At 38.3% G+C, this 21,230-nt stretch overlaps 1 protein-coding gene across 9 annotated transcripts in view; it reads left to right on the top strand.

Annotated features, from left to right (window-relative positions):
* The window catches only part of RFX7 (regulatory factor X7), a 157,803-nt gene extending 144,286 nt beyond the window's left edge, over positions 1–13,517 (top strand). For 8 of the 9 annotated variants that reach the window (NM_001370561.1, XM_047432948.1, NM_001368073.2 and 5 more), the window contains 2 exons: positions 2,421–2,716; positions 4,177–13,517. In NM_001370561.1, the coding sequence (NP_001357490.1) occupies positions 2,421–2,716; positions 4,177–7,452 (3,572 nt within the window). In that variant the 3' untranslated portion in view covers positions 7,453–13,517. The remainder of the gene's footprint in view (positions 1–2,420; positions 2,717–4,176) is intronic. The other variant, NM_001370554.1, reaches the window with a different exon arrangement.
* The last annotated feature ends 7,713 nt before the right edge of the window (positions 13,518–21,230 follow it).

The raw sequence follows: 21,230 nt of genomic DNA, 5'->3' as shown, positions 1-21,230 counted from the left end.
AATCGACAATTTTGGGAATTGACAGTCTTGTTAGAATGACTCCCTCCTAAATTAATAGTTGTGTAAAATAACAGTTCTGATGAATTTTTAAAAATATCTTATTTCAGTTATACCTTATAAACCTAGAGTGGATAAATTATTCTAGAAAATCAGGATGTCTGTTAAAAATGTAGTGATATAGTGATCAGAGACTTATTTTTCCAAGGACTGTCCTTCTAAGTGTTAATTCTGAATATTTAAAAATCTACAATAGATTTATCTTGGCCAGAATTATAGTCTCTTAATTAACTTCACTTCTTTTTTTAGTATCTTTTACACATTAATAATGAGTCCGTTTTCTTCTAATTTTACATTTAGTATGTGGGATGTATGTGTGTGTAACCTCTCCTTTTGTGGTCAATTGAAGACCCATTTCAGAAAAAGAGTGTCACAGAGTTTTTCCTGTCTGCATGTAAACTGTATGACCTAAGTCTGTTTATTCATTGTACTGACCAGCAGGAGAATGCTTGACCAGCCTTATCGAGCTAAATAGCTCACTTATGTTACCTCATTTAATTCCCCCAGCAGTCCTGTGAGATAGGTGATATTTATTCCCAATTTATAGACTTGGGGAGGTCAATTAACTTGTCCATGGGCACATAAGTAATGGAGCCAGGATTTGAATTCTGATTTGTCTGTCTCCAAAGCCCAGCTTCACTCAATTATATCATAATGTCATATAGTAAAATAAGCTTTAAAAGGAATGAACCCTTCAGTTTGCTCTGCTGTCTTTCTCCTGCCCCTGCCAACACCTAAAAGAGTACATCAACAGATGAAGGATTTAGGAGGTATCATGGGGAAAAGAAACATCTCTTTCCTATTTCTGTCATTCACAAAGTCTAACTGTGGGAAATGTTGAATGAATTGAATGAATGAATTTTTAAGGTCTAAGTGCAAATAAAGGTGTGAGTTTAACAAAAGTATTAAAAATTACATATATTAAAAAGACACTCCATTTTTGAAAGCAATCAGCCTGAGAGGGTAAATACTTTACCAATTGTATCATTACTCAAAACATTTTTAGAATGTCTCTCAAAATTTTGATCTCAGCCCTTACTATATTTTTCAAAAAAGACCTTCGATAGTAGACTAATTTTTATCCTTTGAAGGTGAATTTTTTTTTTTATAAATATAGTCTCCATATTAAGAACAGGTTGTGTTACAAATGTCCTTTTGTAAGTCAGCTGCTTGGAACTCATTCCTGTCTCAAAACCCTGGCAGGAAGGATAAGACAGCCAAGCTATGAGCCATTGGCAGAGGCTCTCCAGAGTGCAGGTGCTGAGAAGCCAGAGCTGAGGCTTGGGGTCGGAAAGGGGCAAAACAACTGGAGCTGGATTTGAGATGAAAAATTGTGATTTTTAAAAGGGGCTGGGGGTTCAACAGATCCTCATCATTATTGAGTATGGGGAGAGAGTTATAGCTTCCTCATTGTCTATTTCCTGCTCCCCACACCAAGTTGTTGTTGTTAACTAGAATGATGAAAAGCAGAAATTGGGATGGGGAAAAGAAAAGAAAGGGCAAGGTGTACCAGCAGGATAGTTGTTCCTCTCCTTTCTTCTCTTCATTGTTTTTACTGCCCACAACTTACTTTCTAATGATCTCAATGCCACGCCCTAAATCTGAAATGAGCTTTTAAAAAATTTTTATTTTATAATCCATTTTTCCTAAAATTTATATTTTGCTTATTTTGTCAATTTTTTTCAGTGTTTATCTTACTGTTTTAAAGGTTTTCTCAGTGACACTTTTTTGGAATATCTTAACTTTAGTCTTGTTAAGAAATTCTGCTTCTGAATTTCTTCTAGGTCATACTGGAATCATTGTATAGTAGCAATAAAATAATAGTGCCTATTTCCATGAATTGCTGGTAGGATTAAAAACTGTTTTCTCCATACAAATTTATTCCATTATGAGGAGTGGCTTCAGCAAATATTTATTGAATTATTGAATGCCCCTCATGGGCTAAATATTAAAATCATGAAAATACATGTATTTATTTCTGATTAGAAATGGGGGGAGGGAAATTTACTGACCTTTGAGAAAATGTAAAAATGCTGTGTTGGCATTTATCTCAGCTTCTGCACATTTACGATATAGCTACGGTTTTTAAAATCCTGTTGTTAACTGAAACTGTCACCTGATTTTAAAATCCTGTTGTTAACTGAAACTGTCGCCTGAGTTGAACCATATTGTAAGATGACAAAACTATATTGACAATTGTTTATAAATTCGAAGTCTAATGCTTCATAAAGAAATTGTGAGTTAAAATTTGCCATTTTGGTTGCTTTGTCCAGTAGATGGCTACATTCTCAAAGAAATTCAAAGGAACCTCCCTTCTATAAAGGAGAGTATTTATTGCAGCTTTCCTTTCTGTTTATTTTCAGGAATGAAAGGAATTACCCAGCCTTCTGCTTTTATACCTACAGCTGAAAGTAATTCCTTTCAGCCTCAGGTGAAGACTTTGCCATCTCCAATTGATGCTAAACAGCAGTTGCAACGGAAAATCCAGAAGAAGCAGCAAGAACAGAAACTACAATCCCCTTTGCCAGGAGAATCTGCAGCAAAAAAGTCAGAAAGTGCTACAAGCAATGGAGTGACTAATCTTCCTAATGGAAATCCTTCAATCCTTTCTCCTCAACCTATTGGTATCGTTGTGGCAGCTGTCCCTAGTCCCATTCCGGTAATATAATTAAATAGTATTTGGCCTTATTGGGATGGTGGGAAATCAACTGTTTACTTAAAAGTGGCAGATGAAAAGAAGGCAGGTATAAGAGTAGCCACAAACTGATTTTGTGACCACAGGAAGATTCATTCCCCTTCAGTCTTTTATTCAGGATGTATGTTGTTGATTACAAAGTAAGCTATGAAACATTATTGAAAATATAAAGATCCAAGACATACAAAGTATGCACATAACCACTCAGAGCTTTATGTAAGAGTGAGTAATTTTCTCATTTTTAGAGTTGTTTCATCCCTGGCTGAGCCAAGATTTTTTTTTTTTTTTTTTTTTTTTTGAGACAGAGTCTTGCTCTGTCTCCCAGGCTGGAGTGCAGTGCTGTGATCTCGGCTCACTGCAACCTCCACCTCCTGAGTTCAAGCAATTATTCTGCCTCAGCCTCCCGAGTAACTGGGATTACAGGTACTCACCACCACACCCAGCTAATTTTTGTATTTTTGTGTTTTGTATTTTTAGTTGGCCAGGCTGGTCTTGAACTTGTGACGTCAAGTGATCCACCCGCCTTGGCCTCCCAAAGTACTGGGATTATAAGCGTGAGCCACCCCACCCAGCCAAGATAATTTAATTGCAGTCTTTTTTTAAAATTTAAACGCTTTTCTTTTTTACATTCAGATGGAGTAAAATTCTAATGTGTAATGATTACTTAAATGTAGGCCTATCCGTGGCTTATCAGATACAGGACTAGAACCTTGGCCAAGTTCTTTAGCTAGTTTATTAACCTCTATTTGTAGATAAGGAAACAGTCTCCTCCTTTCCTATCTCACACAACTGAGGTTATGATGAAGGGACTTTTAAAATGAGAGTAAGTTGGTGCTTTATGTTATTATTGATAATAATATTTAGGAAGTATTTTGTCGTTTTTCTTGTTCCTATTATCATCATCGTGTTATTAAAATATGAAATACATGGTAACCGCACTATTCATTATAGGGCAAACTGGAGTAGACAGTAGTTGTATCTTATTTGCAGTGGTTTAGTTACAGACATTTAAGGTAGACACATTTATAAGACAGTTTCCCCTATGAGTGAGCCATCTTAGCATAGATTCTGGTAGGTAACCTTTACAGTTGTATGTTTCTTCAAGATTTTATGTCTTCTTCCTGTAACCCCCTTAAATCATTGTTTCAGCAAATATTCATCACAGGTGTGAAGCTTTTAGTCTTAATTGAAAAGTAACTTAATGTTCTTACATATTTTTTAATTATAATGCATTATGGTTGCATTTGTTACATTTATGTGTCTGATTGTGTAGAACCTGGTCTAGAAGAACTCTCTTCTAACATAGGAACTTTTTTCTTTTTAACATTAACATTTAATAAATGACTTAAAAGTATATACAGATACATGAATTACTATTTACAGGCTAGACCTGTTAAATCTGATTTTTTGCTATCTTTTAACAGGTCCAGCGGACTAGGCAATTGGTAACTTCACCGAGTCCAATGAGTTCTTCTGACGGCAAAGTTCTTCCCCTCAATGTACAGGTGGTCACTCAGCACATGCAGTCTGTGAAACAGGCACCAAAGACTCCCCAGAACGTTCCAGCCAGTCCTGGTGGGGATCGTTCTGCCCGGCACCGTTACCCTCAGATCTTACCCAAACCAGCGAACACCAGTGCACTCACCATTCGCTCTCCAACTACTGTCCTCTTTACTAGTAGTCCCATCAAAACTGCTGTTGTACCCGCTTCACACATGAGTTCTCTAAATGTGGTGAAAATGACAACAATATCCCTCACACCCAGCAACAGTAACACCCCTCTTAAACATTCTGCCTCAGTCAGCAGTGCTACAGGAACAACAGAAGAATCAAGGAGTGTTCCACAGATCAAGAATGGTTCTGTCGTGTCGCTTCAGTCTCCTGGGTCCAGGAGCAGCAGTGCGGGGGGAACATCTGCTGTGGAAGTCAAAGTGGAACCCGAAACATCATCAGATGAGCATCCTGTACAGTGCCAAGAGAACTCTGATGAGGCTAAAGCTCCCCAGACACCTAGTGCCCTTTTGGGGCAGAAAAGTAATACAGACGGAGCACTGCAGAAACCTTCAAATGAAGGTGTCATTGAAATAAAAGCAACTAAGGTCTGTGACCAGAGGACCAAATGTAAAAGTCGCTGTAATGAAATGCTGCCAGGCACGTCAACAGGCAATAATCAAAGCACTATCACTCTATCAGTTGCTTCTCAGAACTTAACTTTCACCAGCAGCAGCTCACCACCTAATGGTGACTCAATCAATAAAGACCCTAAATTATGCACTAAAAGCCCAAGAAAACGACTGTCTTCTACATTGCAGGAGACCCAGGTGCCTCCTGTAAAGAAACCAATTGTGGAACAGCTTTCAGCAGCTACCATAGAAGGGCAGAAACAAGGCAGTGTTAAGAAGGACCAAAAGGTTCCACATTCAGGGAAAACAGAAGGTTCAACAGCAGGTGCTCAGATTCCTAGCAAGGTATCAGTAAATGTCAGTTCACACATAGGAGCAAATCAACCCTTGAATTCCTCTGCCCTTGTTATCAGTGATTCAGCTTTGGAACAGCAAACAACCCCATCATCATCTCCAGATATAAAAGTAAAACTTGAAGGAAGTGTCTTTCTCTTGGACAGTGATTCAAAGTCAGTTGGCAGCTTTAATCCAAATGGATGGCAACAAATCACTAAAGATTCTGAGTTTATATCTGCCAGTTGTGAACAACAGCAAGATATCAGTGTTATGACAATTCCTGAGCACTCTGATATCAATGACTTAGAGAAATCTGTTTGGGAATTAGAAGGAATGCCACAGGACACATATAGCCAGCAGCTACATAGCCAGATACAGGAATCTTCTTTAAATCAAATACAAGCACATTCTTCAGATCAGTTACCTCTGCAATCTGAACTGAAGGAGTTTGAGCCTTCTGTTTCCCAGACAAATGAAAGCTACTTTCCTTTTGATGATGAACTTACACAAGATAGTATTGTGGAAGAGCTGGTGCTTATGGAGCAGCAAATGTCAATGAACAATTCTCATTCTTACGGCAACTGTTTGGGAATGACCCTTCAGAGTCAGTCAGTAACTCCAGGAGCTCCAATGTCATCTCACACTTCCAGCACCCACTTCTATCATCCAATCCACAGCAATGGCACTCCAATCCACACACCCACACCCACACCCACACCCACTCCTACTCCAACCCCAACCCCAACCCCGACATCTGAAATGATTGCTGGATCTCAGAGTCTGTCACGGGAGAGCCCTTGCTCCAGGCTAGCCCAGACTACACCTGTGGATAGTGCTTTAGGAAGTAGCCGACATACACCCATTGGTACTCCACATTCTAACTGCAGCAGTAGTGTCCCCCCCAGCCCTGTTGAATGCAGGAATCCGTTTGCATTCACTCCAATAAGCTCCAGTATGGCATATCATGACGCCAGCATTGTCTCAAGTAGTCCTGTGAAACCGATGCAAAGACCCATGGCCACACACCCTGACAAAACCAAGCTTGAATGGATGAATAATGGGTATAGTGGGGTTGGTAATTCATCAGTTTCTGGCCATGGTATTCTCCCAAGCTATCAGGAACTAGTGGAAGACCGTTTCAGGAAACCTCATGCTTTTGCTGTGCCTGGACAGTCTTATCAGTCTCAATCCAGACATCATGACACTCATTTTGGTCGTTTGACTCCTGTCTCTCCTGTGCAGCATCAAGGTGCCACTGTAAATAACACCAACAAACAGGAGGGTTTTGCAGTCCCTGCCCCTCTTGATAATAAAGGAACTAATTCATCTGCCAGCAGCAACTTCAGATGCCGGAGTGTGAGCCCTGCTGTTCATCGCCAACGTAATCTTAGTGGAAGCACCCTCTATCCAGTATCTAATATCCCACGATCTAATGTGACCCCCTTTGGAAGTCCAGTTACCCCAGAAGTTCATGTTTTCACAAATGTTCACACAGACGCATGTGCCAACAACATAGCTCAAAGAAGCCAATCAGTTCCATTGACAGTCATGATGCAGACAGCCTTCCCAAACGCTCTTCAGAAGCAAGCAAACAGTAAAAAAATAACCAATGTTTTGTTGAGTAAACTTGATTCCGACAATGATGATGCAGTGAGAGGTTTGGGAATGAACAACCTGCCCTCTAATTATACAGCCCGGATGAATCTCACTCAGATTTTGGAACCTTCCACTGTTTTTCCTAGTGCCAACCCACAAAATATGATCGATTCCAGCACTTCTGTTTATGAGTTCCAAACACCATCTTACCTCACCAAAAGTAATAGCACCGGTCAGATCAATTTTTCTCCTGGAGATAATCAAGCACAATCAGAAATTGGAGAGCAACAATTAGATTTCAATAGCACTGTTAAAGACCTGTTGAGTGGAGACAGCTTGCAAACCAACCAGCAGCTGGTAGGTCAGGGAGCATCTGATCTCACTAATACTGCATCTGATTTCTCTAGCGATATCAGGTTGTCTTCTGAGCTCTCAGGCAGCATCAATGATTTGAACACTTTAGACCCAAATCTACTGTTTGATCCAGGTCGTCAGCAGGGACAAGATGATGAAGCTACACTGGAAGAATTAAAGAATGACCCATTATTTCAACAAATTTGCAGTGAATCCATGAATTCTATGACTTCATCAGGTTTTGAATGGATAGAAAGCAAGGACCATCCTACTGTTGAAATGTTGGGTTAAATTGTGTTTTATAACATGTAGCACACTGTATCTAAAGACATATGTATTGTATTTGTCTTAATGGAAGTGCCTCCCGCAGCAGAAATACTATTAATTGTGACATTTTAAAAGCGTTTGCTGCAGAAGTGGTTTCTTCAGTAGGAAATGGTTAGACTTGCCTCAGTTCTTAACAAGTGTCTAAAGACAGTAGGCTGTAGAAGAACAAGTATTAGGTTTTAAATTTTATAATGTGCCCCATTTATTCACATTGATTGACTATCCAGCTGTTACAAGAGCAGTCGATCTTTATTTTGTGTAAGTTAGTTTCATTTCATCAGATGATCTGCACAGAACTCAGAATAAACCATCAATTTTAGGTATAGGCTGTTTTGTTGTTGGCATTATCTTTTAGATATAAAATCATAGCTAGGGTGAACTGTAGACAAGAAAGTCTTCCTTGAAACAGGGATAATATTCAGGTTATTATAAATATTTAGGCTTGAAGCATAGAGCTACTGTAGGGTGAAAAATCTCTGTAGGACTTTCTGGGGCTTCAGTACCATTTACACCCACGATGAAGGGCTTAAATAGAAAATAATGGAAAATTAAATATTACTTTAAGGAAAGCAAAGCTGCACTAAAATTTTTAAGGGAAAAAAAACAAGTAGCCATTTATATTTGTGACCTTGCATTAATATTTAAATGTTGATTTTAATATGGAGCTAGCACACATAGATGCGCAGGCACGCACACACAAAACAAGCAAATGTAACTCCAGGCATTTGTAATTTAATATAATAAATACAAGCATGTTAGAAAAATGCTTTATGTCTTATTATTTGTTAAGTTAGGGGAATGAGAAGGAAAACAAAAGCATTCTCTTAGTTTCATCACAATGGCTGCATGTACATATTGAGATTCTAACTGAGATTTACTTTGAAATTTTTCATTAAAATATTCCACAATAATCAGTTTTTTTCCTCTTCAATTGAGTGACTGACTCCCTCACTCCTCCTGAATATAGTAATGTAGTTTGATCATAGGATCCCTTTGAAAAACAGGAAGGAGGATAACATAAAAAACAACAAAAAACATTTCACCACCTAAGGTCTGAAGCCACAAATCTTTATATCTCTGATGAAACAAAGGGGATATCAATAGTACTTGAAGAAGAAGAGCATTTTATTACTTGCTTAATTTATTTATTGTGATAACCACAATTGCAAAAGAAGAACTCAGGATTTGTTTTAAAATGTTTCTCTCTATGGCTCCCATTTTGTTTTGTGAATAATTATTTATGAGTTGCATGTTGACACAAACCTACTCACTGGTTGAAAGCTCCATTTAAGTGAGTTTCAAGATCACTTTCAAAGAGATTTTTAAATTGCCATTGTTTTTAAAGCTAACATAAAACCATTTGCTATGCTACCTTGAACCTAGCTAAGCTTTCCTTTACCTTAGTAAGCCAATCAGAAGACTACAATCAATGAATATTTAGCAAATGTGCTGAAGGGTTTAATAAGGTTTTGTTGTTCAATAAATTTGCAAGGTAGGGTATTAACATATTTTGATAAATAAATGGTGCTAGAGTTGGCGCAGAGGTTTATATATTGATATGTCTTAGTTATTGGCATTTGTGTGTGTTTGCTGTTATCTTGATTTCATGATTTGTTAGGTATTTTTTTCTTGATGCTAGTTATTTCTTCACTGTACATTGAGACACAGCACTACTGCACACCAAAGTATGCAATACCCAAAGGAAACTGTGTGATTTCTCCTGACAAATGATGGGAGCCTTTCTTTATGAGATACTCTGAAAAGGAGATTTTGAGGCCATTCTAATCCCTTGTTTACATTATTAGCTTCCTACTAATATAAAAATAATGGAAATCTTTTTTGATAAAAATATTAAGACTGGAGGATTTTTAACCCCTTGTACAGTATTGCAGCAAACTCTTTAAATTTGGTTGAATTCGTCCAGCAAACTTTCTGGGGTTCATATATTGCACTAAATTTGTTGAACCTGTGGTAGGCACATCTCTTAGGATAAATGCAACCAATACAGTCCACAGATTAAACTTTTTAAATGTGTTTCATTATGAAAAGACAAAATGTCATCAAAGTGACAGATAAAATTGTCTTATGTAGCAATGTGCATTGATCTCAATGAGATATTTCTATTATTCTCTTACATGAGAATATTACAGCAGGAAGAATTAAGTTTAGTTTGCTTCACCATGTTAATACATGATCACAAAATGTGCATGAGTGTTATTGACTTATCTTGTACAGTACTAGGATTCCTGTAACCACTCTTTTTTTTCTTCGCTGTATTGAAACTGGTTCAGTGTTAACCAGGCAAGCATAGTTATTCACAGGTTATTTACTTTATGTTTACTAATTCTGCTTAGTTATTGTTGAATATGTTCTGTTCCAGATTATTTTTATTGTTTTGATGTTTAAAACATTTTGCATACTGTTTATCATAAAACTTCATGAAGTAAATAATTTTGCATATAATTGCAATAAGCACTGACTTTTGAACTGAAAAGAAGGAAAGTGTTTTTTTGTGCAGTGCTTCTGAGGTTCATATAATAGTCTTGTACTATAATGTGCTTTACTACACGATAAATGACAAAAACAAGCCCTGTTTCATGTTTCATTTAGTGCAAAAAGTCAGATTTCCCCAGTGTTTTGTTGTCTGTTGTACCTGCTGAAACTACAGTAGTTGAATATTGCGGTAGCATTTCAGTTCTCTTTTTTTATTAAAGTGCTCAAAAATTGTTTTTTAAATGTTTTCAAAAACAATTAAAAACATTTTATATTAAACTGACTGGATCTGAAGGTGTTTTATGGGACATATTTTATATAGGCAACACATTTTGTAAACAGACCCAATGTTATTCTTCCTTTGATGTCATTAACTTTAGGGAGTGAATAAAAATGAGCAGAAGGCAGAACAGTGCTGCTGATCTGCTGTGTGCTATTAATCCAGAAGAATACACAGATCTTAGTTCATTCATCAAAACTCTGTTGTTCACTTAAGATTATTACCAATGAATGGTGCATGGCATAGAACTTTATGTTGTCCAAAAAGCCATCTTTTTCTCTTTCACATAGTGTTTAAATGTTAGCCTATGGAGTACCTAGGTAAGTATATTTCTGGAGCTCTGAATAGAAAATGAGAAAATTTTAAGCATAGCTGTGTTCAAAAGCAGTATAGACATTTCCAGGTACCAGAAATAACAAACTGATAAGTGTAATGAATTTGTAAGCCAGAAGCTGGGCTACAGGTCTGGAAGCAGGCCGAAGTAGCCAGAAATGTCAGCTCCTGCAAAGTAATGAAACCAGGGTCTTGAATGGAGTTTCCTCACTCTTGAAACTGAGAAGCAACAACAACCAGTGCCAGGGACTATATATTGTAGACAGATCTTCTCAAACAGCCTACTCCTCTGTTTACATAGATCTTTGTAGATCTGTGATAGTTCCACTATCACCATAGATCTGGAGCCCTCAGTTTGAACAGGTGGTAGAAGCAATTACAAAAGGAAAGGAGTGGAGATTAGGAAGGGAGAGGTAAAGAGCAGGAAGGCTCCCATGAAAGCTGAGCCTGCAGATCAAAATTCAAAAGTACTTGAAGAAAAACTAATCCCAAGAAAGGCAATCAGTCACTCAAGAGAAAATGAAAGTAATGAACTACCTAGATAATACTATAAAATTAGTATGTTAGGATCCTCAGTGCTCAATGACATGGAAGGGTAAAATGTCAGAGCAGGCAAACATAAGAACCAGTGCATAGAGTCAACCAGTAAGAAATTCTGGGGGTGAAAATACTGTGTAACACCTGAGGTGATTTTGGTTTCAAGTAATTGAAAACCCAACACTGGCTTAAACCATAAGGACACTTACTTTTAGCTTAATAATAGTGGAGATAGGAGGTTCAAGGGTTCATTCAATGGTTCATTGTTTACAGGCACCAGATCCTGTTTGTGTTTCTGTTCCATCATCTTCAGCTTTGCTTTGCTGTGTCTATTACCTCATAGTCACAAGATGGCTGCCACAGCTCAGATGTTATACCCTCATAACATCCCAAGCAGGATAGTAAGAGCAGTTCTTAGCCTTTTATCAGAGAGAAAAAAAAATCTCAGAATCTTCCATTAAGCACTCCATACACACACACTGTTAGTCTCATTGTATTAAACAAAGGCTCATCCTAAGGCCAATTACTTAGCTTAGATCCTTAATTAATGCTTTATAGGTAGGAGGGGGGGCCCATTTCCTGGAGCATGTGGTCATTCATCTTAAATGAGTTCCATCACCTAGGGAAGATATTAGGGACTTGCTCTTTGGGAGGCAACCAGTAGTGGTCACTGCAAAAAATAGCTAGGTAAGATGAGTAAGATCTTGTACCCACCTTTGAGGGGCTTACAATCATAAAGAGTTAAGTACATGTTCTTTGTTAAGTGCCAACAGTATGTATACTACACTATGTAGAAGAAAAAATAAGAATTTGAAATCTGCCGAACTAAGTTTACTGGTGCTAACTGTTAACTGGTATCTTGCCTTCCCCCTATGAGCTGAAAAATCAGGTATTATTGAGTATCACAAATGCAAGTTGCCTCAGCTCCTACAGCATAAGAAAAGACCAAACTTTTTATTTTGTTAAATCTGAAGTACAGATTTATTTTGACATGCATTGTTATAAATGAATTTTTAAATAATTAAAGTTATAAATTTATGGATGGGATCACTTATTAATATTGCATCATCTGAAATTTTAAAAATATGTATGCCAGTCTTGTTGCTATAATCTGCTTAGAAAAAAGAACAAAACAAAAAGACTACATTTTTCAAGATTTGATTTTTAAGAAGTACTTAATTCTTGGAGAGGAGAAGAGAGTCATATAAATAAAATATATCATGAGAGTGATATTACTGTGGTATATAGAGTATTTCTTTGCATTAGACCCAGTGTTAGTTTGCATATATTCTCATGTCCTCATTGTAACAATTTTTAGCGAGTATTATTTTTCAGGTGAGAAAATTTTACTTCAGAGATTAACTGGTGGAGGTAACATAATAACAGGAAGAGCCAGGATTATCTTAATTTCAAATCCCACTTCATACCATTATGCTATACTTAAGATATGTGTTCACAGTGTACCTACTGCAGTTGTATGATCTGGTTGCTTCTTTGAAATTTTCATTCTGGTTTTAAATTTAGAATTGAGTTTGATTTTTGTGGAGTTCTTTATTTAACCTCCCATCCTTATATGTCAACAATTCTTTTTCATTTTTATTGCTTTTAGATTTACCTGTAGTTTGTAATTTTCCTCCAAATTACTTGAATCCTTTTCCCTCCCTTCTCTCCATAGAAATACCCTGATGTATTAGGAGAATGAAGATTTAAAAACAAAATTTTGTTTTCCACACAGCTTTTCAAGCATATTTCATACAGGTATACTCTAGTCATATTTATGTTTAAATCACTTAAAATGTCATCAAAATAAAAATGGGACTTTTTTTTTAACAGATGATAAAGTGCCTAAAATATGTCAGTCTCTGTACAAGGTGCTAGAGAAGACACCTGCCATTTTGAAATTTTGCAATATAATGAAAAAGACACAGTGAATGTCTTTGCAGGATGCAATGAGGTCACTATAGCAGAGGCGGATACTTACCAGTAGTATGCATTCTCCCCTTCTTCTTTACTGTAAAAGTCCTTGATTTTTAGCTGAGCACACAGCCATCTGACCAAAAGGCTGCATCTGCCAACTTCCCTTGCAGTTAAGTGGAGACACTTACCAAGTACTCAAAGAGATGTAACCAAAAGGTTTGGGTGCTACTTCTTTGCAGTGTTCTTGTCCTTCCTCTCTGCTGGCTGGAATGCAAATGTGATGGCTAGAACTCAAGCAGCCCTCCTGGACTTCATGTTAAAGACACATGCTGAGGATGATTGAGCAACAAGATACAAGGAGCCCAGGGCATGATGACTTTGGAAGGGAAGATGCCCAACTAGTCCTGACTGCTTACCTCTGGATGTGTTTTACATGAGAGAAATAAATGTCTTTCTGGTTTAACTCACATTTATTTTGAGTCTTATTTTGAGTCTCTGTCACTCAACACAAATCCAAATTCTAGCCAACATAGCTTTAAGCAGGAGTAGGGAATGTTAGAGTCACATGGTGATTGCCAAAAACATCATGGATGCCCCAATGGCAAACTGCATCTCATTTTCATTGGGATTGGTAAATCAGGAGAGGATCCTAGAAAAATACCCTTTCATAGCTTTGGGGATTGGGGGAGACAGAAATAAGAGTAGATGAATTCTGAGCTGCTGATCAAATTGAAAGGCAATATAGCATTCTGGTCAGACCTAGGTTTAAGTCTCAGCTCTGCCAGTTATAACCGTGACCAATTATAACCATTCAAACTTACTTGAATATTAGTAATGATATCCATCTGGCAACCATTTCTAGTGCTGTGCCACATGGTTCTGGCCTGTTCATTATTTTTGCCAACATTTTGAATGAACACACACTAAGTTTGCTGTGGCAAATGTAGATTGGCTTGCTCAATTTCTGTTCCAGCTTCCTCCTTGTATGAAGGGGCAGGAAAGCCAAAAAACCACATTTTCTAGACTTCCTCACAGCTAAGTTGTGAATATGAATTACATTTCATCTATTAGATTTGTTATTGAAAGATCTGAAGGAAAAAAATTGAAGCAGAATCCATCTTCCTACTTCTTTTTGGTGACTTTTTCTTGCAAGCAAGCTCATGGAGAGTTTCTTAGCAGCAGTGTTCTAAAGTCTATTCTTGTGATTCTTAGGTTTGAAGGTCCATGTTCCAGTGCCAAATCACCAATTTTGTGAATGTCTAGAGGTGGTCAAGTGGTGCAGTGATGGTACCAACAGTATCAGCAACTTCCTAGTGTGGCTTCCTGCTCTCTGCAGTAATTTCAGAGACAAACACATGGGTGATTCCCCTGATAATCAGCTCAACCATATTGTTCCAGGAGTCATTTCTGGAGGTAGTCTAAAGCCTGTTTTTCCACTTACAGTTGTCCCTCAGTATCTGGGCAGGGATTGGTTCCAGGATCCCTAGGGATAATGAAATCTGCAGATGCTCCAGTCCCTTACATAAAATGGCAAATGGCATAGCATTTGCATATAGCCTATGCACATCCTCCTGTATACTTTAAGTCATCTATAGATTACTTATAAAACCTAATGCAAGCCAGGCACGGTGGCTCAGGCCTGTAATCCCAGCACTTTAGGAGGCTGAGGCAGGTGGATCACTTGAGGTCAGGAGTTCGAGACCAGCTCGGCCAACATGAGGAAACCCTGTCTCAACTAAAAATACAAAAATTAGCCAGGCATGGTGGTGCACTCCTGTAATCCCAGCTACTTGGGAGGCTGAGGCTGGAGAATTGCTCGTACCCAGGAGGCGGAGGTTGCAGTGAGCCAAGATCGCATCACTGCACTCCAGCCTGGGCAACAAAGAAAGATTCCATCTCAAAAAAAAAAAAAATGCAGTGTAAATACTATGTAAATAGTGGTTATACTTTATTATTTTTATTGGTATATTTTTCTTGTTGTATTATTTATTGGCTTTTTATCCCAAATATTTTCAATCTGTGGTTGGTTCAATCTACAGATGAGGAACCTATGGTATGAAGGGCCAACTGTATTTATAAGCACTTAAACCTCTGCATTAAATCCTTTTCTGTTTAAAATACCTAGAATAAACATTTTCTACACTCCACCCTGACTCATAACATATGCCTATAGGCTAGGAGTCAAGAACATCTTAGATCTGGACCCGGTTCTATCATTCTTCTACCGTCTCTGCACTTTAAGAAATAATGATCCCTGTCCTAGTTACTTCCCAGAATCTTGTGAGTCTCTGTGAAATATGACAATATGTTGTAAACCCTAAGTCTAAGAGGTTATCATTATCATAAATACCTGTGTGAAAGAACAGACATTTATCTGAGAGTGGGAAAAATTATTGTCCTTTTTAGCACTTAAATGTTATATTTTACCTGAAGCCTCCTTCTACCCCCACCACATACACATGTGTCAGAAGGTAAAGTATAAATCCATATTCAGAAAGGCACTGAACTTTGAATTAATGGCAATAAACAAGAAATAAGTGTTAGTAACCATTTTAATTTAAGCCAAGCTATATCTGAGCATATTTGTTTAACATAGATTATTTGAATCACGAGATCTCTTGTATTTGGACTTCACGTGTTTGAAACACACAGTATAAATTTCCTACCACAAACCCATTCCTAGTTAACATATCTCTTTACTGAATCCTTCATAGTCTTAGCTCATCTTCATAACAGTTCTGAGATTGCTGCCTTAAGAAGTACTGGTAATTTCATAATTGATAAGCCAAGTCCCTGTTCGTTTGGTTTCTATGACTTTGTATTCTCATTCACCTTCTACCTCTCAGATCCTTCATTCTTGGACTCTTTCAGGGACCAGCTTCCTCTACCTATTATTTAAATATAAAAATTCTTTGACATTCTGTCATTGGTTCTTCTCTTATTATTCTACTTTCTCTCCCTAGTCATTTCAGAAACTCCTACAGCTCTATTGATGGCCTCCAAATCTAAATTTTCACATTTGACCTCTCTATTTACTTCCAGTCTTAAAATCTAAATGCCCAAACTGACACACCTTCTCTTTTTCTCCAACCTTCTCCGCTTCCTATTTTCTGTTAACAATGTTATCACTGCAGTTACCAGTTGAAAGCTCACACAGCCAGGCATGCTGGCTCACGCCTGTAATCCCAGCACTTTGGGAGGCTGAGGTGGGTGGATCACTTGAGGCCAGGGGTTTGAGACCAGCCTGGCCAACATGGCAAAAACCCATCTCTACTAAAAATACAAAAATTAGCCAGGCATGGTGGTGGGCGCCTGTAATCCCAGCTACTTGGGAGGCTGAGGCAGGAGAATCACTTGAACCCAGGAGGCTGAGGTTGCAGTGAGCCAAAATCACACCACTGCACTCCAGCCTGGGTAACAGAAAAAAAAGAAAAAAGAAAACTCACATGCCCTTTCCTTCACCCTTTCCTCAACATCAAATGAGTTTCTAAGTCCCATACCTTTGAAATACATATCTATTTGTTTCTTCCTTTCCTTCCTGACCCTGCCTTGGTTGATGGATGAATTTCTCATTTGAAATACCAAATTATTTATAACTTCTGTAATAATTTCTGTACAATGCCATCATAGTAGTCCTTAACTCAAAAGCCTTTGATATTCAGAAGTCAATAGCCTTCATAGATATAAGCAATAACTAGTTAGAAGATACAACGCAAGAGAAGATCCTTTATTATTATTTTTTATCATTATTATACTTTAAATTCTATGGTACATGTGCACAACGTGCAGGTTTGTTACATATGTATACATGTGTCATGTTGGTGTGCTGCACCCATTAACTTGTCATCTATATCAGGTATATCTCCTAATGCTATCCCTCCCTCCTTCTGCCACCCCACGACAGGCCCCAGTGTGTGATGTTCCCCACCCTGTGTCCAAGTGTTCTCATTGTTCAAGTCCCGCCTATAAGTCAGAACATGCGGTGTTTGGTTTTCTGTCCTTGAGATAGTTTGCTGAGAATGATGGTTTCCAGCTTCATCCATGTCCCTACAAAGGACATGAACTCGTCATTTTTTATAGCTGCATAGTATTCCATGGTGTATATGTGCCACATTTTCTTAATCCAGTCTATCATTGATGGACATTTGGGTTGGTTCCAAGTCTTTGCTATCGTGAATAGTGCTACAGTAAACATACGTGTGCATGTGTCTTTATAGCAGCATGATTTATAGTCCTTTGGGTATATGCCCAGTAATGGGATGGCTGGGTTAAATGATATTTCTAGTTCTAGATCCTTGAGTAATCACCACACTGTCGAGAAGACCCTTTTTATGCTAATAACAAAAAAGATAAAATATCCAAGCATGAACTTAAGAAATATATAAAATTTATATAAAGAACACCTTTAAAACACTTCTACTGGCTGGGTACAATGTTTCACACCTGTAATCCCAGCACTTTGGGAGGCCGAGGCAGGTGGATCACATGAGGTCAGGAGTTAGAGACCAGCCTGGCCGACATGGTGAAACCCCGTCTCTACTAAAATTATAAAAATTAGCCGGGCACAGTGGTGGGCGCCTGTAATCCCAGCTACTCAGGAGGCTGAGCCAGGAGAATCAATTGAACTCGGGAGGCGGAGGCTGCAGTGAGCCAAGATCATGCCATCACACTCTAGCCTGGGCGACAGAGTGAGACTCCGTCTCAAAAAAAACAAAAGCCTCTTTCACTGAAAGGTCCAAGGTAGACCAGAGCAAATGGAACAGGAAAACGTACTTAGATGAGAAGAGTCAACATCGTAAAGACATCAATGCCCCGTAAGTTAATTAATACATTTAACATGATTCCCACAAAAATGCCAATTCTTTTCTAGAGCTTGGAAAATTGGATATACATTTAAAATGAGAACACAGATAAGTATAGCCCAAAAAATCCGAAAAGAAAGGAGTGTCTGAAGAGCTAGCCCAACAAGGTATTACATATAGCGTCACATGGCAAAAAGGCCCTATAAGTAATGTCAGGCAACAAATGACAAACTAGGAAGAGATATTGCAACTTATATCACATACATACCCCTTTATATTCGTATTAGGGGTAATATCCCTAATATGGAAAGAAGTCCTAAAATGGTGGGAGGCAGAAGGCCAAAATCTAATAGAAAAATGGGTAAAGGATATTAACAGAGAGCTCACAGAAAAAGAAATGGTCATTGTGTAAGAGGTGTTCAAACCAGAGCAACTCCATCTTGAACATGGACTGGCTGGGTAAAATGAAGCTGAGACCTGCTGGGCCACATTCCCAACAGGTTAGCCATTCATAGCCAAAGGATGTTTACGGTTAAAAGAAATAGGTTAATAATGTTAAAGGAACACGTTAATAATGTTTACTGAATTGACCCAGGACTTAACAGACCCAGGATATAACAGACCCAGGAAATGTCCTGGTGTCCCAATATCTTAAAAACAAAAGCACTTTTAGTTTAAGAATAAGTTTTGCTTTCAACATAATAATATAGATTATCGCAGAAGACAGCAGTTATACAAAGATTAGCAATCTTTTGTGACAAACCCTTGTAGTAGAATACATCTCCCCATGATTTTTTGCTTTGTTATCTTATGTACAAACAAGCATGGCACCTAAGGCGAACATGTTCCTCCTCTTGCTTTTGGGAATACCCTGCTCTGTCTATGGAGTGCTATTCTTTCTTTACTTCAATAAACTTACTTTCACTTTACCCTATGGACTCACCCCTAATTCTTTCTTTCACGAGCCCTCTCTTGGGGTCTGGATCAGGACTCCTTTCCAGTAACACTTAGACATGAAAAAAAAAAATGTTCAGTCTGACTCATAATAAGAGAAATACAATTAAAACTACACCAAGATACCACTTCTCACTTAGGTTGGCGAAAATCTAAGTTTGACACCATCCTCTGTGGGAAACACTGTGAGACACAGGCATTCTATATTGTTTTCTTGCACATTTCCTAGGAATTTTCTAGACAACAAATTTTGGACATCCAAATGACTAGAGAGAAGTCAACCTAAGGACTGGCATTGAGCATTAAATACCTATTGTAAAACTAAGACTACATGAGGTTAAAGAGGAGAGAGTATATACTATGTACTGGACACATCATCTGAAAATGTACATACAACTAAAGAACGTGGAAAGTGCCTATGCAAATAATTTTTTAACTTTTTCAATAAGATGTGTGTTGATAAAATAGGTGATTTCACTGAGACTGTTGTATATGTAATGTAAGACAATGCAAACTAATTGTGTGATATTCTAGTTTTATATTTCTTAGGTCCCTGAGAACCTGGACTCTCAGAAGAAAGGCTATGCCTGTGTAAGAAAGAAGTTTTAAGTAAAAACTCTGCAGTCCTGACTTTGAATTCCAAGTATCAGCATGAACTCATGGAACATCTTGGTGTACAATAGCAAGGAAGCTTCCAAAGACTATAGAGGTCATGTCAAAAAGACTCAAGAGCCAACTTGCAGAAGCTGCCACTGGACACAGATGGGACAATGTAAGCTCAATAAGGATGATAACTTCAGCAGATCAAAACACTTAAAATATGTTTAAGTCTATGAGTTTTAATGATCCTAAAAAATTAACTGCTCACCTTTTGAGGATGATAGGTAACCAACTTATTTTAATTGATAAAGAGAAAGAAACAAATATTTATCCTGCCTTTCCTTTGTGAGCTGGACCACTGGATAACGAAATAATAGATAAGGGGGGATGCTCTAGTTATAAATATTCTAGCATCCCAGCACTTTGGGAGGCCGAGATGGGTAGATTACTTGAGGCCAGAAGTTCAAGACCAGCCTGGTCAGCATGGTGAAACCCCGTCTCTAATAAAAAATACAAAAATTAGCTGGGCGTGTTGGTGTGCACCTGTAACCCCAGCTACTCGGCGGCTGAGGCAGGAGAATTGCTTGAACCTGGGAGGCGGAGGTTGCAGTGAGCCAAGATCGCACCATTGCACTCCAGCCTGGGTGACAAGAGCAAGATTCTGTCTCAAAAAAAGAAAGAAAAAAAGAAAAGAAAAGAAAAGAAAAGGAAAAGAAATATTCTATCTAATGAATGAGGAAGGAATGACATAATGCCATTGAGTGTAATGGCAAAAACCACAATTACTTTTTTTTTTTTTTTTTTGAGACAGAGTCTCACTTTGTTGCCCAGGCTGGAGTGCAGTGGTGCAATCTTGGCTCACTGCAAACCTCTGTCCCTCCAGTTCAAGCAATTCTCCTGCCTCAGCCTCCCGAGTAGCTGGGATTACAGGTGTGTGCCACCAACCCCGGCTAATTTTTGTGTGTTTTTCAGTAGAGATGGGGTTTCACCATGTTGGCCAGGCTGGTCTCAAACTCTTGACCTCTGATGATCCACCCGCCTCAGCCTCCCAAAGTGCTGGGATTACAGGTGTGAGCCATTGCACCCAGCTCAACCGCAATTACTTTTGTGCCAACCTACTAACATTACAGGCAAAGACTTCAGGTCTAAAACACCAAAAGCAATGGCAACAAAAGCCAAAATTGACAAATGAGATCTAATTAAACTAAAGAGCTTCTGCACAGCAAAAGGAATTATCATCAGAGTGAACAAGCAACCTACAGAATGGGAGAATATTTTTGCAATCTATCCATCTGACAAAGGGCTAATAACCAGAATCTACAAAGAACTCAAACAAATTTACAAGAAAAAAACAAGCAACCCCATCAAAAAGTGGGCAAAGGATATGAACAGACACTTCTCAAAAGAAGACATCTATGCAGCCAACAGACAAATGAAAAAATGCTCATCATCACTGGTTATGACAGAAATGCAAATCAAAACCACAAGCAGTGATCAAGGCTGCAGTGAGCCAAGATCATGCCACTGTACTCCAGCCTGGGTGACAGACCAAGACTCTGTCTCAAAACAAAACAAAACAAAACAAAAAGGATGCACTGTATCATGGGGGTACAATTAGTAAAATCAGAGTCTGAGAAACTCTACAGAGCAAACAGTCCAATTTCAAGAAAATGAAACGCAATGGAAGAGGAACCTGTAGATTAAAAGACACTTAAAAAGTTATGTGGGCCGGGTGCAGTGGCTCACGCCTGTAATCCCAACACTTTGGGAGGCCGAGGTGGGCGAATCACAAGGTCAGGAGATCGAGACCATCCTGGCTAACACGG

Source organism: Homo sapiens, chromosome 15 (assembly GCF_000001405.40).
Source record: "Homo sapiens chromosome 15, GRCh38.p14 Primary Assembly".
Classification (NCBI taxonomy): domain Eukaryota; kingdom Metazoa; phylum Chordata; class Mammalia; order Primates; family Hominidae; genus Homo; species Homo sapiens.
Note: the sequence above shows the minus strand (reverse complement) of the source record. Positions and strands in the feature narration are given on the sequence as shown.